At 36.6% G+C, this 22,615-nt stretch overlaps 1 protein-coding gene across 3 annotated transcripts in view; it reads right to left on the reverse strand.

Annotated features, from left to right (window-relative positions):
- SEMA3C (semaphorin 3C) overlaps positions 1-22,615 on the reverse strand; it is a 179,852-nt gene that overhangs the window by 83,973 nt on the left and 73,264 nt on the right. For all 3 annotated transcript variants that reach the window (NM_001350120.2, NM_006379.5, NM_001350121.2), the window contains 2 exons: positions 2,075-2,235; positions 915-977 (listed from right to left, as the gene is read on the reverse strand). In NM_001350120.2, coding sequence (NP_001337049.1) covers positions 915-977; positions 2,075-2,235 — 224 coding nt within the window. The remainder of the gene's footprint in view (positions 1-914; positions 978-2,074; positions 2,236-22,615) is intronic.

Below are 22,615 nucleotides of genomic sequence, written 5' to 3' on the forward strand. Positions count from 1 at the left end.
TCAGAACTGTTTCTGTCTTTGCACCAATTATGTCTTTGGCAACCAGCTCCATGCTAGATATATAACAGGTGCTGAATCAGTATTTATTGAGCAAATAATGGAAGGAATGAATGAAGAAAGGAACCTCTTTACCAAACTATTTTTGAAAGACAGGGTGATTTTGATGCTTGGCTGTATTACATTTTCATTATTTGAGGCAAAATGGTGAGATGACTTATGTGCTCCATTATAAACATTAAATGACGTGTACACATTAAAGATCTGCTCCACGTATTTGTTTTAGAATATTCAAGAATGGCAATGTATTACTTTCAGCAAGTCATTTGTAGAAATCAATATAGATTTCTTCCTTGATTATTTTGAATCTCACCTAGAGGAATACAATTTGCACAGGTATTGCATACTGAACATATATTGATACTTATATCTGCCTCTATTGCTGTTTCTGTGGCTATTTTTAATTAACAAAGGTACCATTTATCACTGGTGATTTGTATTTATGGAATTTGCTGGCTAACCACTACCCTTTTGCCAAGAATCTTTGTTTGGAAAAGCCCACAGGGTATCTGGGAGCTGCTCCAGACACTTGCATTATCATCGTTTCAGGAGCCTGCTGAGAATTCTGCAGGTTGAATCCACTAGGAACAGAGGTTATTAATGAAATCCATCATGAAATGTATCTGAATGAAATAATGAAAGCAAGGCAAGCAATTTTTACCCAGTTAGGAATTCTGAAGTTACAGAGAGCCCAAGAGTTCCAGTCTCCTCAAGGTTTAGGTTTTTAGCCTGTGTCCAGCAAAAATTTAAAACACCACCATCCTTGTCTCATTTTTGGCTTCCCTCAAAGTACATGGATTCGAAAACCAAATATTTAAGTTAGTGTTTTTTTTTTTTTTTTTTTTTTTAACACTTACTGTGGGATCTTTGCCAGCCATTTTGCATTCTTCAACTTTGATTGTAGATGCTGGCCAGAAAACCTGCTCAGAAAGAAAAATAAAGGTTGCATAATCTCACCTGGACATATGACAGCCCAGTGCTCTTCATTTACTTTTTGTTAACAGATTTATTTAAGGTGATCTTACACTAAGACTTTAAAATTCTTTCTTTTTTATCAATTCATTAATAAAGATTCTATTATTTTAACAATTACAATTATTTTTATTTCTTCCAACAGTGTTTCCTTTCACAAATGCTTTTCAATAACATATGTTCATTTACTAATTGTATATTAAAATAAGATCATTATTAACATAAATGTGAACAATACAATTTTTCACTCCTTTTGACATAGTACACTTTTCCCAACTGCTTATATGACAATAAATCTACACTTACATATCTTTCTCAGTTAGTATTATTTTTGGTAAATCACACAACCAGGCTAGTAGATTTACATAAGATGGGCCCCTGGGTACTTCAATAGCTAAAATAACTTGGATGAAAACCAAGAGATTCCCTCTCTCTGAAATACTGTGCTAGTACTCTAAGTAGTTGCAGCCTTGGGTCCAGTTTGGCAATAATCATTAATTTTTTTTAGTTGTCAGTCCATTGCCTGTGTTAACACTTCTGCAAATGCAGAAGTCTCCTTGTTGTAATAAATTTATAATTAATCTACATGTATTTTTTTCACTACAGTGAAGCTCAATTTTATTTCCTTGTGAAATGGAATGATAAATATAGGCCATACTGGATCAAGTAACAGCGTATTTAATAGCTGTTTTCCTTTCAGGCCCTTCACTGGTTACACAGAGATGACAAAGTAGATCTTCCTTTTCTCTGACCATTTCTTTCATGCACTACCCTATAATCCCTTTTTTCTTTATATATTTATACACAGGTAGTATTTTTTCAGTTAGCTCCAGGTTTTGAATTGTTAAAAACTATGGAACTAGACGATGAGAACTGAACTTAATACCTTTTCAGTCCATGAAATAAGTACTAACTTTCATAGTAACATGGGACCAGTATTTTCTATTGTTCTAATAAAATGCATATTATTTTTTACTTATTTATTTTTTTTAAAAAAGAGACATTGAAAAGGTGGACACTGTCCTCGTGAAAGTGATAAACTTACACTCAAAGCTTCTTGACTTATATTGTTAATATTCAGGGAAAGAATGTGATCTTTGCTTCCCACATATATCCGGTCCTGATCTTCATCCATTAATAAAATCCTGTAGTCTAAAGGATGGTGGGAAAGGCTGAAGTATTCAGAGGTCTTGGTTTCTCGAAGTTCTGAAAGAGTGAACAGCACAAGTGTAGATACAGTATCCTGGTTCTATAATTCTATTATTTTAATAAAAACTATTATGCAAATATTCCAAAAAATGTCAAGGTACATTTTCTTCTACAGTAAGAAATTAATTTTAAAATAGAGTTATGGGCTAGTTCCCTGTAATCTCAGCACTTTGGGAGGCAAAGGTATGATGGTCACCTGAAGCCAGGGGTTCAAGGCCAGCCTGAGCAACATAGTGAGACCTTGTCTCAACAAAAATTGTTTTAGAAAATTAACTGGGCATGGTGGTATGTGTCTTTAGTCCCAGATACTTTGGAGGCTGAGGTGGGAGGATCTCTTGAGCCTAGGAAATTGAGGTTACAGTGAGCTATGATCATGCTACTGCACGCCAGCTCTGGCAACAGAACGAGACACTGCCTCAAAAAAAAAAGTTATGTTAATGGGCATTTTAATTTATATTTGTACTGAAGTAAAACATAAACCACTAAGTGCAATGTTAAAGTTTATGGTAATAGTATGTGATTACAAAATCAGTCACGTTTGCAATAATCTCAACTCTGTTTTATTACTGGACATCATCAGCTCAAAACAAGTTAAAATAAATAAACCAAAAAAAATACAGTGAGCAGATTGAACAGAAAACAAAACCAACAGCAGTGTGATTGTCTTCTTATCCTCTATTAATGTTTTATTTTTGGACTCTATTTATTCATCATTTTAGGATTGTTATTTCCTACTACAAATATTTGCCTTGCTTCCCAACGTAATTCTAATTAGTCCGACTTATTTTTCTATAAATTACTTGAAAGTAGACGTATTTTCAGGAGGCAATGTTATTTTTAGCAGCATAACTATTCATATATCTAAGGAAAATATATGAATTTTCAGGTATCTAAATGTTCATATTTCCAGGATCCTCAGAGGTTAGTGACTCACACTCATTTAACTTCTTCCACATTGCCTAACTGCCTGTATGGCTGGCCTTTGAAGACAATCAACGTATCGTGACATTCATGATACATTCTCTGGTCAAAATGCTCCTCTCAAGGAGCATAACTTTAGACTTTTCTATTCAAATGGTTCAGGATTTATTTGTTCTTTTGATTATAATCTGAAGAATGACAAACTCTAAGAAAGAGTCTGCTTTCTGGGATGACTGCTTCCATGATGAACTGTTTCTAGATTTTTAGGCATTGAATGACAAACACATTTCTAAAAATTCTGATAGAGCTGTAGTTTGACTTAAACCGAAATCAAAATGATACAAATTCTTATAGGAAGTCATGGACTATATTCCATGAGTACTTGGGCCATAGCCCATATGAGAAGATACAGAAGTCACAAATTTAACCTATTTTCTGGGCACATTTGTTCAGAATGTCTGCCATAATATCCTGCAAGTAGTTTCAGCCAATAATCTGAAAATGCCCTGGAAGAAGCAGAGTGATAATGAAACCAGGTTCTGTTGCCAAACTTCCTGTGAAACTGAACAAGTTACTTAACCTCTCTGTGCTTTAATTTCCTCATTTGTAAAATGCAACAATAATAGTAACTTCTGCCAAGAGTTCCCATGGAAATCAATTTAATTGACACATATAAATACGTGAAATGAGTGACAAGAGATAGTATTCAATAAATTCTAATTACTGTTATTAAGTTTGGATCATGATTTTTAAGAAAAACATGAATTTAGATAAAATAGATGTATGTTTTCCTACTTTTTAAAATTTAGGGAGCTAAATCCCTAAAATTATTAGGACATAATCTTATAGCCTCAAATTTACTGTTCATACAACAATAGTAAAATACAGGATTTTTTATGTTGGAAAAAACAATCAAGAGGTTAGAAAAATATTTCAGAAGAATCTTAAAATGTAAGATCATGACAGCATACAAGAACAAAAGACAGGTCATTAATAACAAGGGCCTGGGTGAAAGGTCTTTGGAAACAGGGGGCTTGGGTGCTGAGCATGGTGCAGCCTGATAACCTTCCAGTTACTGAGTCTCCCTAGGAATCATGGACAGAGAGGTGACACAGCTGGCAGGTGGTGCCACAGCCCAAAAACTGAAACAGCTTCCTTCATGAGGAGAGCACGTAAGGGGAGAGGGAAGTCTTTCAGGAAAAAATCAGCCCATGCCAGACTAGAGGTTAGGGCTAATAGAAAAAAATCCAAGAGCTGAGAACATGGGAGAGAATATAGAATCAAAGCAAGTATCACTCAAAGGTTGGAGAGGACACAGACTGCCTTGATTCTGTCTAAAATCCAGGTGTTTTATAACGCTTACTTTTATCTCAGGGCTATGATTCATGGTTGTGTAAGTCTTCTGTAAAACACCAGGGGTAAGATATTGCTTGGGCTGCTGGAATACACATTCAACAAATACCTCTTAATAAATAATTGTGGAGTGACATACACAGACTAGCGCAGTAAAATATAACTGAGTTCATGGCCTCTGGGGTTCAACCACTGGAGTCTGGATTCTGGCTCTACCATTTCACTTCTAGATGTACTTGGCAAGGGCCTTTATCTCTCTGAACTCTAGTGTCCTTATCTTTAAAATCAGTATAATAATAGCATCTACCTCATTGGGTTGTTGTGAAGTTTAAACTGTTGTCAAGTTTAATATACATAAAGTTTTTAAAAGAGTCCCGGAGCTATACTGATGCTGGTTACATGGGTTACCTATTATTATAACTTGGGGCAAGACATCAATCTTCAGCAAGCAAAGTCAGAACAATTTCTTATGCAGGGAGGATAAAAATGACTAGAATGCCTAATTTAGAGTTAATATTAATATATTCAATTTTTTTACAAGTAGCATCTACTCAAATTAATCAGGAGAACACAATAATAAAATAAGGCATTGTTAAGGAAAATAATTTGAGTATGCAGGGTAATTTTTAAAGTATATAAGCTGAAAAGACTAAAAGACATTGTTCTAGTAGTTGAGATAGTATATTGATGAACACCTGATATGCTAAAATGGAAAAGAAAAATTGATGTGAGAAATGCCTAAAACAAAGAATTTGGAATGATTTTATGTAGGTTTTGGCTAGGGGTAGAGGAAAGATTGGCGTAAATTCCCCTTAACATTGTAAGCTAAGTATAGGAGAAATGAATATGCCCTTACTACTTTTGGGAGATCTGAAAAGGAGATATATTTGGTAGAGAAAGTACTTAGGTATGGACAGATTAAATTACATTCAAATCAAAGCAGAAATGTTCCACAAGAATGTAGAATTAGATAATTAATTTAATTTTGTCATTAGAAGTAGCAAATCTTCAGGTAGAGATGTTCAGTTATTTTCATGGATGATTATATGGAATTCTGAGAGTAGATACACTCTCTGGGGAAGAGTATATCTAAAAAGCAAAGCAAAGCAAAGCATAGAGATGACTTGGTTGTTAGAAACAAAAAGGGAGCCAGAAGGTGATTCATGATGTATAGGAAACAGTTTGACATTGTGAAGAGAGTACTCAACTGGTGTCACAGTTCTGAGTTGAATTTCAGTTTCATCACTTACTAAGTATATTATTTTGGGAAAACTAGCTCATTTCTGTTTTAATTTCCTCATCTATACATTGGCAATAATAATACTGAACTCAAAGTATGTTCCACCAGCCCACAGTAGAGGATCAATATATGCTCCTTTCATGAGGAGACACTGTAGATTATCTATCTAATTAGATACTATTCTTTTCTTCCACCTTGACAGGGCTGTTCAATGACAACCATACTGGCCCCATTCTTCTAGCCAGTGAGTGTTTTAAATACGGCCATATGAACAACTTTAGCCAGTGAACTCTGGAGGGAGGCCTTCTGCACGGCTACTGAAAAAGGCTTATTGAGTCTTAAAAACTGGCACACACAAAAGAAGAGGTGATTTCTTTTTCTGCCTCTGGACATTGGTATGTGAGCACATGATGATTGCAGCAATTGCATCTACCAAGAAAGTTCCTTGCTGAGAATGGCAAGCAGAAATGTAGAAAAAAATCTGGATCTTTTAAGAAATCATTGAGTTACTGAATTAACCGGAACTCCATTATTACTGGAATATTCTGTTATATGAAATAAAAAGAAATCCTTGCAGTTTTTAGGCACCTTGAATTGAGGTTTTCTTTTTCTGCTGTAGAAATAAATACTAACTGATATTATCTTTTGAGGGTCCACAAACCCCCATCACGACTTTCTCACACTTTCTATCATGAAGAAAGTTTAGTTTTGATGTTTTTTCCAAACCATTATTTTTTTCTTTTCCCTTTCTTTTTCTAATCTGTACTGAAATAAAACCAAGAGTGTGATCTTAGCTGGGAAAATAGGCTCAACTAAATTTTATGTGCAAGTAACAAGCAAACAATTGCAGTTCTCCTCCTTGCCTGTTTCATTAGAAAATCGTCAATCCAGGCCTGGCACGGTGGCTCATGCCTGTAATCCCAGCACTTTGGGAGGCAGAGGCAGGTGGATCACGAGGTCAGGAGATCGAGACTACACTGACCAACATGGTGAAACCCCATCTCTACTAAAAATACAAAAATTAGCTGGGCATGGTGGCAGACGCATGTAATCCCAGCTACTCAGGAGGCTAAGGCAGGACAGCCTCAATTCTCCTGCAGAGGCAGGAGAATCACTTGAACCTGGGAGGCGGAGGTTGCAGTGAGCCAAGATCACGCCATTGCACTCCAGCCTGGGGTGACAGAGTGAGACTCTGTCTAAAAAAAAAAGAAAGAAAGAAAAGAAAAGAAAATCGTCAATCTATCGCATTAATTCAAATACTGCAGGGAGCAATAGCTACATCAACTTAAGACCTTTCTGGTCCAGGGATTTTTATCTAGTTTTCCGAGCCATAAAGCATCTTCAAATTTAATTACCTATGGCTTACTGATAGTTGACAGCTGTTAACCAGGGAGATTTACTTCAGAAGTGCCCTTGTTGTAAAAAGCCTAGGCTATTTTGTTAAAATGCTATTTAAATTGCTGTTAGTAGTCATAATTGAACTATACGACTTGGGGAGAGAAACGACCATTTTTTTTTTTTAGAACATAGAGATGAGCTCAAAGCAATGAGAATTTTATTTATAAAAAGAATGACCCAAGAATCTATCATTTGGTTTCACATAGATCCAATTTAAGTAAATGAATGATCCAGTGAATTGGCCACGGTTATAGAAAGTGACTGATGTAATGATTTGGCTACAGTGAGAGAAAAACATTACAATTACTAGTCCATCATCTAAACAAGGCAAAGAATGGCATTGTCATTCCTTTAACCTCACAATGATGTCATCCTTTTTGAAGCATATGAGGTACAGCTATTTGTGTTGTTTCTCAGGACATGCTCAATTAACGAATAAGGGACTCTGGCTGAGAGTATGTAGTATTAGAAAATGCAGTGGCTCCACAAAGGGCAGCATAGGTCTCCTGGCCCCTGGGAAAATCTCCCAGGAAACAGCATTAAAAAAAATTATGCATGTTTGTTTTCTACAATCTACATTATTGTAGAGCTCCATGATGGAAAATTACTGTAATGTCTTCTATGCCAATGTTCCCTGGGGTAAAATTTGCTGCACAATATGCTTACCTAAAATTCATGTATCTACATGAACTTTTCTTTGTAATAGAAACCACTGTGAAGCTTTGAGAATTTAACCAAAGCTGGAAGAACAATAGGTTTCCCCAAAATCTAAGCCCTGCCAACAGAAGCTTCTGGAGCTACCTAAGTATAGTCAATATATTGTTACAGCAATTATAATATAGTTCAAAATACAGTAACATATTATGTCCATCAATAACACTCTATTACTATTCATATAAGAACAAACGTTTGTTCTCTGTTAAGCCAGTCAGTGATCTTAATATTTTTGAGTTAACTAAGTCACGAAGAATCTCATTCATGCACTCAAAAATGTGAACTTGATAAAGGAAGGTAGAGAGTTTAGGGTTTTATTTTATAGTTGTCCCTTGGCATCTGTGGAAGATTGGTTCCAGGATACCCTACAGATAGCAAAATCCAGGATGCTCAAATCTCTGCTTCAAAAGGCCAGAGTATTTGCATATAACCTACCCACATCCTCCCTATACTTTAAATCATCTCCAGATTACATAAAATACCCAATACAATGTTAATGCTATGTAAATAGTTGTTATACTGTATTGCTTTTAAAATGTGTATTATTTTTACTGTAGTATTGTTATTTTTTATTTTTTTCTGAATATTTCTCATCAGTGGTTGGCTGAATCCATGGATGTGATACCTACAATTCAGAGTGCCAATTGTATACCTGTCAAACTACACAGTAGGGTAACTCATTCATTCAGAATACTACATTGTCTTCAGCCTTTTATAAAATTCAAAAATAGGTAAAAGACTCCTTGATTGAAAATCAATTCCCAGGAGTCCCTAGATTAGAAGCATATGCAGTAACTACTCATGAATTTAAAATTCATGATGTGTTATTAATTTGTTCAATATACATTTATTGAGCCCTTATCCCAGCAGGCTAGACACTTTGCTGAAATAAGAGGATAGAAATAACGAAGATACCATGTCCTAATTACTATTTCACTGCTTACCTAACATTCTGTTATTCTGTTTGGCTAGTCCATCAAAACATTCTTCTCATCATAAACCTCAGATCTCAGGCAGAATGCACATCTACAGATTTCAAAGTAAATCTGTAGGATATCTTTTACTTCAGAGATATTGCTACTGACAGGATAATTTCCTCTTTTGAATGTCTTATCTCAGAAGAATTTTAAGCAGAGTGGGCTCAAGTGACCCATCCTCTCCCTGAGGCTTATTGTTTTGAAACTGGATTAGAAAGTGAATTTCACCTGTCTGTTTAGAAAAAAAAATAAAGAGCAGTGAAACTTCAGCGGACTGAAACTACAGCTACTAATTCCTAATGTGAACAAAGACAATAGAGACCAGAGGGCATGTTATTAAAACCATATTTGCTCAAAAATAATAGCCCCAAATAGCAGCCACTTGTGGGCTTACCAGTAGCAGCAAGTGTTCTAGGTGCTTTATAAACTTAGTTCACACAATTTCCATTCAAAGTCTTTGCATTCGGTTCTAATATTACTCTAGTCCCACACACAAAGGAATTAAAATTGAGCAAATTTGAGCAATCTACCCAAGATCACACAGTAAAGACTAAAAGAGGCAAGATTTCAGGATTCAAAGCAAAGCCAGTCCTTAATCTGTGAACTCAATCAGATGACCTCTTGCTTTTCTAATCAGACTGACAACTTCGACAGTTACTAGTTGGGTTTCTTTCATGTTCTTGCTCTGGACATGGGTCTGCATAGTATCAAATGTAGTATAAGAAATGCCTCAGCTTCCCAAATTTTCTTTGCCAGTCGGGGACGAGTAGATACCATACTCTAAACAACTCGAGAACTATCAACATCTCAGTGATGCTCTTCTCACTAAAGCATTAAAAAAGGTGTGAGAGGCAGCATGAAAATGGTATCAGACATAGCTTCATCAAGGGCACAGACACAGCTTCATGTAGAAGACAGAAGGTTCCCCTTTTCTTTGCTTTTTGACAGGCATGATGGGATAAATGGAAGCAAAATGCCAAATGGATTAAAGAAGGAATGAGGAAACAACTATACGCAGGGAACCCAGCTAAAGAATGACAGCAGTGCTGGGCGCGGTGGCTCACGCCTGTAATCCCAGCACTTTGGGAGGCTGAGACAGGTGGATCACCTGAGGTCAGGAGTTTGAGACAAGCCTGGCCAACATGGTGAAACCCCATCTCTACCAAAAATACAAAAATTAGCCGGGCATGGTGGCAGGCATCTGTAATCCCAGCTACTCGGGAGGCTGAGGCAGGAGAATTGCTTGAACCTGTGAGGCGGAGATTGCAGAGAGCAGAGATCATGCCACTGCATTCCAAGCTGAGCAACAGAGGGAGACTCCATCTCAAAAACAAACAAACAAACAAACAAACAAACAAACAAAAACAGACAGACAGCAGTGAACACAGAATGTATCTCCCACGCATTGCATCAGAGGGAAGATTTGCAAATGCACAGGTGTCTTGAAACAATGATTCTCGCCCTGGTTTGCCCCAGACAGCCCCAGATTGTGCCCATTTCCCCAGCATAATTATCACTAGTGCCCTCTTTCATTCTCAAAAGATTCATGTTTTGGAAGTTAAATTATATGGCTGCTCTACTTTTAAGCAACCTCTTAATTACCTTGAATGGTTTTCTATTAGTTTTAGTAAAAATTTCAAAATTTTAACCCTTTCCCATTTAGAACAAAAAGTGGAGCATGCTGTCAGTGCTCCTTTAATTTTTCATAAACGCACTGTTTGGGGCTGAAGCAAGTCTGACTGATTTTCACTATGAAATAAAATATAAAACTGTTCTTGCAGTTATTTCTACACAGAACTAGCATCAGAATCATCTGAATCTTCAGAATCATCTATTTCACAAACGTCGGATTAATCAAATCAATCTTTGGCCAACAACTGTTCAAGAAGATGTTAACACATAGGAATGCTAAGTTTTCTGGGATTTGACATTTTCAGGAATCGAGAATTACCGTATTTTGTGAATTGAAATACCACTACTAAAAACAGAATACTATAAATAGAATAAGTCTTTTGTTTCCTAAGTCGATATACTAGAGTGATGCGAAAATAATAATGAAAGCGAGATATTTTGTGGCAAAGTTACCTTGGGGTAAATGCTGCAGCTGCAAGGATTATTGGGGCAAACAGGAAAGGGTTAACATGGCCCTCCAGGCCTCCTATGATCTAGTTCCAGATTACCTTACCACAAATCTTAATCATCACTGTTGGCCTATTCTTTGTTCTTGCTCTGCTGGCCTTCTTTTTAAAACTTCAAACTTGCCTTGCTCCTTTTTGGCCTCAGGACCTTTGTACATGTTGTTCCTCTTGCTTATAAAATTCTTCCTGCCTTTTTCTAATTCCTACTTATAATGTGACCAATAGTTTTGATGTAATTTAAACAGGGCTGTCTCATAAAAGCTTTCTCGATCCTTTAGACAAAGTCAGGTCTCAGGTTCGCTGATAAATTTGCTCCTTTCCCTCCTTGGTTTTCTTTTCTCTTGAAGGCTGCCTGGAAGGTCATCTGAAATGGTCTACAATGTCCTGGATTGTGGGGTAGGGGACTACACTATGACTTGCTGAAACCTACCTTGTTTCTGTACAGTTTTCAAGTGGAAATTGACTCTAAACATGAAACACAGGTCTTTGTTCATTCACATTCTACCATTTTTTTGTTTGCTATATTGATTTTTATTATTTTTAATCATGGTGAATTAAAAATATGAGCATAAACCAATCAAATGGAAAAAATGCCATCAAATTTCAGAAAATCATGGTTTACATGAAATATTAATACTTTATCACTATTAAAAAGTAGGGTGTGTATGGCTGGGGAAGGCAAAAGGCTTGGCTTTGGAAATAGTAGACCAAGGTTAAATTTTTAGTTTCACCTTTTGCTGGTACAGGGTTTACCCCAACACCACCCTCCAGAGCACTCCCCTTAGGTCCTGCATCTACAATATAAAAAAAGAATGAGAATATTTTGGAACCAGAATAATCTCTAATGTTCTGTATAGCAACAAAATGTCTATAAAAATAATTCCTTTTTCACTGCTTACACATATTATCTATTGTTGTGGGATATCTGTAAAGCTAATGTAATCCTTCATATTACTATACATCTTGTAGGAAAAAGGGGTCTATGTAAAAACCAATCTTAGAAACATAGCCACAGTAATACAACTGTGTATTTTCTAGAAAAATGAAGCTAAACCAAAAGCAAGGCTATCTTGTTCCCCTACTATATTAGTCCATTTTCACACTGCTACAAAGATAGTACTTGGGACTGGGCAATTCATATACAAGAGGTTTAATTGTCTCACAGTTTCACATGGCTGTGGAGGCCTCAGGAAACTTACAATCATGGTGAATGGCAAAGGGAAAGCAAAGCTCCTCTTACATGGTGGCAAGAGAAAGAGAAAGAGCAAGAAAGTGCAACACTTAAAACCATCAGCTTTCCTGAGAACCCCCTCACTGAGAATAGCATGAGCAAAACCGCCCCCATGATCCAATTACCTCCCACCAGTTCTCTCCCTTGACACGTGATGATTACAACTGAGATGAGATTTCAGTGGGGACACAGAGCCACACCTTATCACCTACAAAAAACATATTTTACTTGTGTTGTGTAATTCAATTAAATAGAGAATTCTAAACTCTGACTTCCCTTTCTCTAAGCTCACTTGGAAGACATGGCCAATCTTTTGTTCCTTGTATGGTAAGTACTGTCTGGATTCTATCTCAGGGTAGGAAGAATACACAATTAGGGAATATCTCAGATGTCATGAGAGACTGAACTGGCAGTAACTTACTTCTAAAAAGTAGAATAAAATCTGAACTTATCACTAATCTATATAAGGACAACACAGATGAGCTATCAGTATCAATGATATTCATACTTCTAGGAAGGCCTCAGTTTCAGAGTGTCCACTTGAGATATAAACAAGGCAGATAAACTTGTAGAGGAGGAAACACTTCATCTGACACCTGCTTTCTAGACCTCTTGGCACTTCTGAAAAAGCTTTACTTTGAGGCAAGGTGTTCAAGAACAGTGGTTCCAGGATGGTTAACAAAACAAAAGCAGATACCTGACAACAGACAGAGAAAAAAGTGGGCACAGAAGAGAAATGTGGTATCAGCTGGAGCTCAGGGTAAATAAGTGTACCTCTGCTAAATAAACTATTACACTGTCATTAAAAATTTTTTTTGTGTAAAAATGTTAAGATACGGAAAACATTTTCTCATGTGCTAAAGTCATAAAAGCAGGCTATATTCAATATGGAAACAAGTGTTAAAGGTCATTCACAAACAATAAGACTTGTAGGGATATATTTTAAAACATTTATAGCAAAGTCCTTGGATGGTGGGACAGAAATATAAAGACAGTCAATATTTCAGACCAATGTGTGTGCATTGGGGAAGGATGATGACCTGACATGGTATATCATGTCAGCAAAACCCCAGAACACCGAGAATCTAATAGACGCCATTCCCCAAGCACATCCCTTAAGTGACCACACTGGAACCACATATGGAAAGAGTCTTAAAGCAACATTTAACACTAGTCTTTCACAAAATTTATACTATTTGCTGGATTTGGATGCTTTCAATAAAACTCCCTTGACCATATTGTGGGCTTCCAGTGGGTACTTTTAGTCAGCACACTTAATTATAGCAAGAATAGGAGATCCTATGTGCTTAGTGAAGTCTCTTGTCCCTCTCACCCTCATAAAGTTCTGAACACAGCCCATAGCTCTCTATAACACAATGCTTGTGTTTATACATAACACAGCCCACAGCTCTCTATGACATACTGCTTGTGTTTATACATAACACAGCAGGCTGTATACAAAACAGAAATATTCTTTGAGACATATATTTATTCATTCATTCAATAGATGGTAAAAAGGCCAGGTGTGGTAGCTCATGCCTGTAATCCGAACATTATGGGAGGCAATAGCGGGTGAATCACTTGACCCCAGGAATTAGAGACTAGCCTGGGCAACATGGCAAGACCATGTCTCTACAAAAAATACAAAAATCTGCAGGCTTGGTGGCATGCACCTGTAGTCCCAGCTACTCAGGAGACTGAGGTAGGAGGATCACTTGAGCATGGGAGGTAGAAGCTGCAGCGAGCTGTGATTGCACCACTGCACTCCAGCCTAGGTGACAGAGCACCTGTCTCCAGGAAAAAAAAAAAAAAAAAAAAAAAAAGAGCGAGAGAGAGAGAGCGCGATGGTAAATGCCAGGAGCTAGGTAAAAATATGCAAAAATTTGGTCTCTCTTTCAAACAGGAGAGTCTAAAGTGGAGGTACACGAGCAACTGCAGTGTAAAAAGATGACTCCAAAAATTGAGGAGCATTAAAGAATGAAGAATTAAGTCTTCCTGGAAATAACAGAAAAATATTAGACAGAAGGAAGTACTTGATCTTGTTTCTCCATTCAATAAATATTAACTAAGCCACTCAATATTATACTAAAATCACAGTAATAAATGCACAAAGTATAGTAAAAGGGAGGGTAAGTGTTTAAGACAAGGGCTTTACATCATGGCTGTGGAAACAATCATGTAAACTTTGACCTGAAGGATAAAGTTGAGCTAATAAAGAAATAAGCATTTTCCAGGGAGTAGAAAAAGTTTGCGTAGAAACCCTCAGGTGGGAGATTCAAAGGATGATTAGAAGTCTCAGGGTTGATCAAGAAGCGGAATGGAGTGGGGTTTTCTCAGCAGAAACAAGGAGCCAACCAACACAGAAAGATCCAAATTTCTTGACTGTCAAACCATAGGGGTTGAATTTTTCCCAAGTCACTTCAGATGCCAATGAAACAAATCCGAGCAAGTACCCGCCATGATCACATACAAGTTTGCTAGAAAGATAATTCTGCTTAATGAAGAGTTCTTGAGAGCAAGATTGCTTCATGATACAATATTAAGTGAGTAAAGCAGAATAAAAATATTTTGTATTCTTAAACTATTGTGTGCCTGCATAGTAATAAATAAATGTAGAAAAAAGTCTTGACAAAAATGCAACTTATACATATTCTCATAATCCTGGGGGCTCATTTCAATGCCCTGTCAGTTAAAAGGACTGTAATTACCCTTTGATCAAGAATCAGGCTATGCAAACTTTCCTTGCAGACCACTGTAATTTACATATATTCTTATACAGGAGTCTAGCTGCACTGCACCTAATAAAATGCTGAACTAGGCAATGACAGAAACATCAGCATCTAACTGGAAAACAGCTATATGTTGGCAAAAAATCCCCATCTCTAGATTCCTTCAGAATGATGGAGGACCACCCACAGCTTTCAGTAAGACAAACTATTTGATATTTAAAAACTCAGCTCTCCCCACCAGCAAAAATTCTTGAACTATGCTTTCACTTGATGCATTCTTAAACTCATTTTCTTTTGAACACAGGAAAAATATTATAAACTATATACCATAAAACCTCAAATTTAAAGGCCCAGACTTTATGAACAAAGAGATGGGGAGATGTTTTCCTAAAAAGACAGCTACTTTATCTAAATATTATTTATTTCAATGTGACTCATTGTTTAGCCAAGTTACTACATTTGGCTTCAAAACAAAAAAACAAGTCTGCAGAACTGCAGAGGACAGTGAAGACATGTTCATTTAACTTTAAACACATTTGTCAGTCATTCTACGCAGAAGCTCCCTTTTCTCCTTTTTTCTTGTCTCTCTCCCTCTGACACTGTCTAAAATACAAGGTCAGTGACTCTGCAGTGCTCAGCGGCTGGAGCAGAGATTTAAACAGTCCTTGGGAGTGGGCTTCTACATAGTAATAGAGCCACCCTTTAATTCTTTTCAAGAGAAGCACAAAGGATGCAACCATGTTTCCTGCAGCTTTGAAAGCCCAAGACTTATCATATACACAATGGCTTTTCAATGTATATCCAAGACATTTCTCTTTCCTTTGTGCTAGACTGCGAAACCATTTGTTTCCAAATTTCACGTGATGGTATTTGGAGATGGCATCACTCAAGCTTTCAAAAGAGATCAGTGTTGCACTTTGCTGTTTTTGCTCTGGAAACATAATATTTATCATTCTTGCATGTACTTCAAGAAGAATAGCAGAATATGAGACTCAAAGTTTATTTATTTTACAAAATGCTGCTACCCCATTGAGACAAACATTAGCCATGACTTTCTTTTTAATTTTCAGTAAAATCTTTTGGTGGAAATAAGGCGCACTTAAAAGAGGAAATGAGAAACCATGAGAAATCCAGTTTGACCTAAGTATTAACAGCTCATGGTCACCTTTTTAATGCAGAGGGAAGCTTCACTTCACTGACTTACAGACATTTTCATTCCTGAATCTCAAAAAGCAACACATTTTACTAGGCAAAATGAGTTATAGATAGCTGGGGTGGTGTTATTTGAGGGACTGAACATTAAACAATTTAAGTAACTTTACAAGATTAAGTCAAACAAGCCACATTATGCCATACAATCAGAAGAGCAAATAAACAGGGTTCTAGTGCAGAATCTGTCTTTCTGTTTCTTTTCATCAGAGACATATAAACTGTATTCCCTAATTTTAAAACTCTGCAAGCTTTGTTACTTCATCGACAATGAATATGAAAAGAACAAAATTATATTTTCACATCCAGGTGTAAAATTAATTCAAGTTAGTACATTTCCAGTCCAAAAATCAATTTAGCCTAAAACATGAAATTAGAGGTTAGGAGGGGCGTGTGGGTGGGGGTGCAGATAAAGAGAAGTTGGTTAATGGATACAAACATAGAGTTAGATAGAAGTAATAAGTTCTAATGCTCTATAGAAGAGTAGGATGACTGTAGTTAACAACAATGTATTACATATTTCAAAGTAGCTAGAAGAGAGGACCTGAATCGTTTCCAACACATTCAAATGATAAGTACTCAAGATAATGGATATTCCAAATAACCTGACTCTATCATTACACATTCTATGCATGTGACAAAATATCACATGTACTCTATGTATTATCTATCAATTAAAGCACAAATTAAAAATTAAAATGAGACTCTTTTTCTTTGTGTTGTTTTTTTTAGCTTAATGCATTTTCCTGGAACAAAGTCTGGCTTTTGAAGACAAATCTATTCTAAAATCTTGGCACTGCATCTGACTAGCTGTGTGGCTTTAGGCAACTTACTTAAATTATTAGTGCCTAAGTGTTCCCACATGCATGAAGAAAAAAATACCTATCTCATGGGACCATTGTGCTAATTGAATGAGAAAGTAAGTGTGAAACACCTGGAGCATAATAGCTATCACTCACAACTGGTAGTCTAGCCATGCAAAGACAAGAGTTTCAATTTTAAACAGGATAATTGTACACTAGCTTTAGGGCATTACTCCAGAGTTATTTTCTAAATTAATCCTGCTAAATAAAAATCTATTGAATTAATATTAATTTGTATTGAAATATAATGAGTGCACCAATAAAAACCATTATGATATCTCAAGATTCTAAGAAAAATAATTTTTATTACAACACAAAAGTAAATGAGAGGAAAAGTTTTCTTACTCTTTACCCAGTCTGCCTAATTTAAGTTACCACACACTACCTAATTCCTACTGAGAACATACAAAGTACCTATAAAGTGTCTAAGAAGAGTTTACAAGCACTACCTCATTTACTCTCTACAAAAATGTTATTAACCAAGTTTTATTATTTTCTCCATTAAATATATAAGAATACTGCAGATGAATCATGGGTACCTTTCCCACATTTTGAATTTAAGTGCCAGTGTCCACACTCTCCTGTCCCCATGGAGGATGAGAATATGCTCAGCTGAGGCACTTGGTCTCCATCACTTTTCATGAGTATAGCTGCAGTCTTCAAATTTTAATGCACATACGAAATATGTAAGTTGCTTATTAAAAATAAACGTATTGGACAGTGCCAGTGTTATGCTATAAACTGAGATCCAACAGTTCTCCCAGCAAAACCTATCTGACCAATTGTCATATTAATATTACTAATGATTATATTGAATCAAACATTTGTCCAATAATATTTTCTAAGATTTTACATAAATTAACATTTATCCTCATTACAGTCCTACCTGGTATACAGTGGTTCAGAGTGTGGGCCCTGAGCTTGACACTTACTTGTTTTATCATCTAGCAAAGTTACTTAATTCCTTGGAACCTCAGTTTACTTACTTGTAAAATGGGGGTAATGATATTATCAATCTCATGGGTTCCTAATTAAGATAAAGTAAATTAATAAATTAAAGCAGAGCAGTTCCAGGTACATTACATTGCTCAGAAAATATTGACTGTGATCATTATTCTCATATTTAAGGAATAATAATAATATTCCTCAGAGAGGTCAGATCTATCTTTCTCAAGGTCACACAAGTAAAAATGGCCAGTGGGAGAAAATTAAAATGATGTGTTTCTGGCTCTAGAACTACTGCCCTTTCCAACACAATACATCACCTTTCTACTCTGTCAGTGCAAACTCGACCATCAATGAACCATGTCTTTTTGAGAAAATGCATGAAATGTGCTAAGGAGTTAGCACATTGCTGCAGTAGTTTTCAAGGTGTGTAACACAAGCACCATGGAAGTGTCCTTCTAAATCTTTGTATCTTTGTGAAATGTCTTTCCTTTGTCAGGGGGTTCATGATCTCGCCGCTTGAGGAGAATTTTCCAAATGAAAGCAGAATCCAGAAGTGTGAACTCATCAGTGAGAAACCGCTCTTGTTGAATCTCCAGCAGGGCCTCCCCAACCCTGTTGATACGACCTCTCCCCCTCCACTGTTTACAAAGGGTAGCCACATGGCTCAGCTTTTTACTCAATCTAAGAAAAGTTCCCAGAACCCTACTGTTCCCTCACGCAGACTGAAAACTATTGTGAGGCTAAAACTGACAGGAAATTTGGAAATGGGAGACAAAAGGTAAACATTTCTGTAGATACTGGGAAGTTGATCACACCCTCTGTGTCATCTTTCACTTTTTTTGAAACGTGCATTTCCTGAGTACTTCTTAGGTGGACATCAGTAAGCCAACTGCTATGGAGGGTATTAAGACTTTTTAAAAATAAAACCATCTTCAAGGAGAGAGACAGCATACTCACAACACTAGAATACAAGGCAGTATATGATAAATGCCTGTAAAGACAAGCAGCGAATGGCACCAGCATCCATATTCAACCTACAAACAATAAAATCATGCTCCATTCCTCCCTCCCAGCCTACCAATCAGCTGCTGAGCCTTGCTGATTTTACCTCTAAAATGTCTCTCATATCTGTCATTTTCTCTCCATTTCTATTATCACTCAATTCTAGACACATATCAATTCTAGTCATCTCTGATGGAAAATGGCATGAGCCTTCTACTTGCTCTTCCTGTCTTTAGTTTCCTTCTTTGTTCAAATATTTATTGAATGGTGGAAAACCATGGGCACTAGGGGCAGTCTGTGTGCTGGGAGTACAATGACTAGGACCCTACCCTACAAGGCATGTGGAATTCTCACATCAGCTTCGTGCTTCTATCTGAATTAATTTACCACCCAAACACTAAACATGACCATGCTTTCACACATTTTCACTCTGTCCCATTTGAAATCAATTCAATGACTTCCTGTTTTTTAACCAATAGTTCTGAGAAGTCATGCCTACTTTAAGAAAGTAGCAAATGCAATGGACTTTCTTTTTCTCAAAAATTTCATATAGGTCATAGTCATAAAATATTTCATGCAAATTCAGGGTGTCACTGATATTCTGAAATTCATTCAAGTATCCCATAAGGGTAGTCTATGTGCCTAGGAGAAAAATGTCTCATCTAAAGGGAAAATTTCATGCCTACAAATATGTTAAACACAGCCCTTCATGACCTGACCCTTGCTACCTCCTCAGCCTGATGCCTGGTATTTTTTCCTTGATCTTTATGCACCTACAATAGAGCTATCTGTATTGTTTGGAAAACATCATGCTATGTCATGCTTCTCAGCCATATTCATACTAGTCTGCTGTGCCTTTTTTGCTTTGCTAACTTTTCGTTGTTTGTATGTTTGTTTGTTTTTGAGACAAGGTCTCACTCTGTCACCCAGGCTGGAATGCAGTTGCACGATCACAGTTCACTGTAACCTCTAACTCCTGGGCTCAGGGGATCATCCCGCCTCAGCCTCCTGAGTACCTAGGACTACGGGCACACAACACCATGCCTGGCCAATTTTTGTTTATTTGCTCAGCTGGTCTAGAACTCTTGGCCTCAAGTAATCCTTCCATATCAGCCTCCCAAAGTGCTGAGATTACAGGTGTGAGCCACCGTGCCCAGCCCCTTTTCCATGTTTTTAAGGCTTAATTGATACTACTATCTATATAAAGACTGTCCTGATTCTCCTGTGAGAAATGACGAAAATGGCTCACCTTTATTTAATAATACACTATTTTACTGGTGCCAAGATAACTAATTGTAATTACATACATTTAAACTTTGCAACAGCACTATGACGTGCATACACTGTATTTCATATCTTATACATAAAGAAACTACACTTAAGAGGAGTTAAGTATGTGTTGATCAATTATAGCTGAAGAGCAGCAGAGCCAGGATTAGAACTCCAGAAAGCTGAACTCTAAAGTTCTTTCCACGGTAACACCTCCCTCCAGTACTCCTTTTGTATACTGAGTACATGTCCATTCTTACACACTTTAGATACAACCTCAGACTAATTTACCCCACAAGTCTGAGTGTGCTGGACAAAATTTATTATTTATTTCAGGAAACTTCAGAATAGTTTAGAGAGACTGGAAGGCTGTGCCTGTTCAAAGAAAACTGTTTAGGTTGACCTGGCTAAGACCTTCAATTTTCTACCCAGTTTGGATGAGGGAGACAGAAACAAGGAGAGAATGGATTATTCATCTCAGCATTTAGTGCTGCCATATTTTGGGTATTTGTCACTCACCACAGAGCAAATTTGATGAAAGAATGGTATAGATCACTCTCGAATGCTCAGTGGTGAAGAAGTGTTTCTGTGTCTTCGTTTTGTTACTGTAGTATACAATAAGAGTAAATTTCCAGGTAAATAAACATTAATTCAGCCACGCAAATACAAGCCCAAATTTCTTAACATTAGATTTGGTAGATATTACTTTGTCAAATTGCTATACATGTCCTAAAGATACACTATCATTTTCCACATTTATTGTATTATGGACTGGTAATTACTGTTGGCACTCTCTGCCAGCTACAGAGGAACATACTTAAACAACATTGGCATTGAGTAGGTTTTTTTTTCCCCTTTCCAAACGTAACAAACTCGCTTGGCATCCTCATTTTGCTTTTGAAGCATTTAGGACAGACAATGAATCCACAATATAATTTGTCAGCAAATCTTCCAGTAATAAGAAATCTATATAGGGCTGACTGTGGCAACTGGTGTTAAGAGCCACTGGGGCTACAAACAAGCAAGGTGTCATTGTAGAAAGCATACGCTAGACAGAGAGGGGGCACAACAACAACCTTGTTCATACAATCAGCTTTTTACTCTGAGGCAGATCATCTCATTCAGCCTCAAATTTAGCATCTGCAAATGAAGGGGTTGAACTAAATAATCAGTAAGATCGTTTCCAGCATTGGTCTTTTCTGATTTCAAGATTTTCTAAAACTACCTCTAACTCCTACCCCAACATAAACTTTGAATGCTTTCAGATTTTACGTATAATATGCTGCTCCTTCTTTCCTGATATTTCCTTTGCTATACATGCAACTAATTCTAGTGTCTCAGAGTTAGTTACGCAATTTCTGAATAATGGTTAAGCATGTAAACTTAACTACATCTGAATTTGAGTATGTCTAGTTTGCTGTAATTAGATATTCAGAATGAAAATCAGCACCAATAACTAAAGTTCAGGACAATAAAGAGAAAACTATTCCAAGTCATGTCTCCCTTGAGATTCTGACTGGGACTATGCTCCCTCCTTTTAGTCTCACAACTGAACTGCAAGCTCTAATTTTTGACCTTAGGAAAGTCACATACTCTCTTGATTGTAGTCCTCTACCTACAAAAATAGTGCAATAGTAAATAATTGCCTCCTCTATCTAGTACAAAACAGTAAATAAAATCTGGCAATGGAAAAATACTATCTACTAGACGATAACTTGACCACCTTCATGCCTACATATGCTGGACATTGAATAACACTGAAGGTCACGTCATGGTGCCCCATGTTCCACCCTGCTAAACATTTCTTCTCCTAGCAACATTTGAAAAAATAAAGTTAGCCTTCTTTATAAAAGGATAAAACAATTATTAGTCCCATCCCTCTTCCAGTTTTTGATGTTTTTATTCTTCAAAGGATTTATACTCTGTTTCTCCAGCAAGTATTTTTAGAAAACATAAGCAAAACAGTCCAGTCCAAAATTTTCTTGAGAGCATCTTTCTCTCCATTCTTTCATCTCATTTTAATTTAGTGTTTCTTTCCTACATATTATTTATGCAAACTATGTATTTTATAGAAGCTAGTCTTCTCAGTCTATGTTTTCGTTTTATTTTTCAATTTACGGTGGTTTTATTCATGGTGATTTTGTTATAAAATTTAGATAGAAAAATTCTTTTTCTCACTTTGGATGCCCTCTTTTAAATCGAACGCAGACTCTAACATGGAGAGATGATAAGATCTCTTATAAACCCACTTCAACACCCTTTCCCTCCTCAAGTTTCACAGCAACACGTTTCTTAACGCAAGAGATTTTACTGCCTTTTAATCCAGCTTTTGAATGTCATACAAAACATCATTTTGCAGCTAAGTTTCTAAATTTAGCCTTAAGT

The sequence above is a fragment of the Homo sapiens genome, chromosome 7 (assembly GCF_000001405.40).
Source record: "Homo sapiens chromosome 7, GRCh38.p14 Primary Assembly".
In the NCBI taxonomy this organism is placed as follows: Eukaryota; Metazoa; Chordata; class Mammalia; order Primates; family Hominidae; genus Homo; species Homo sapiens.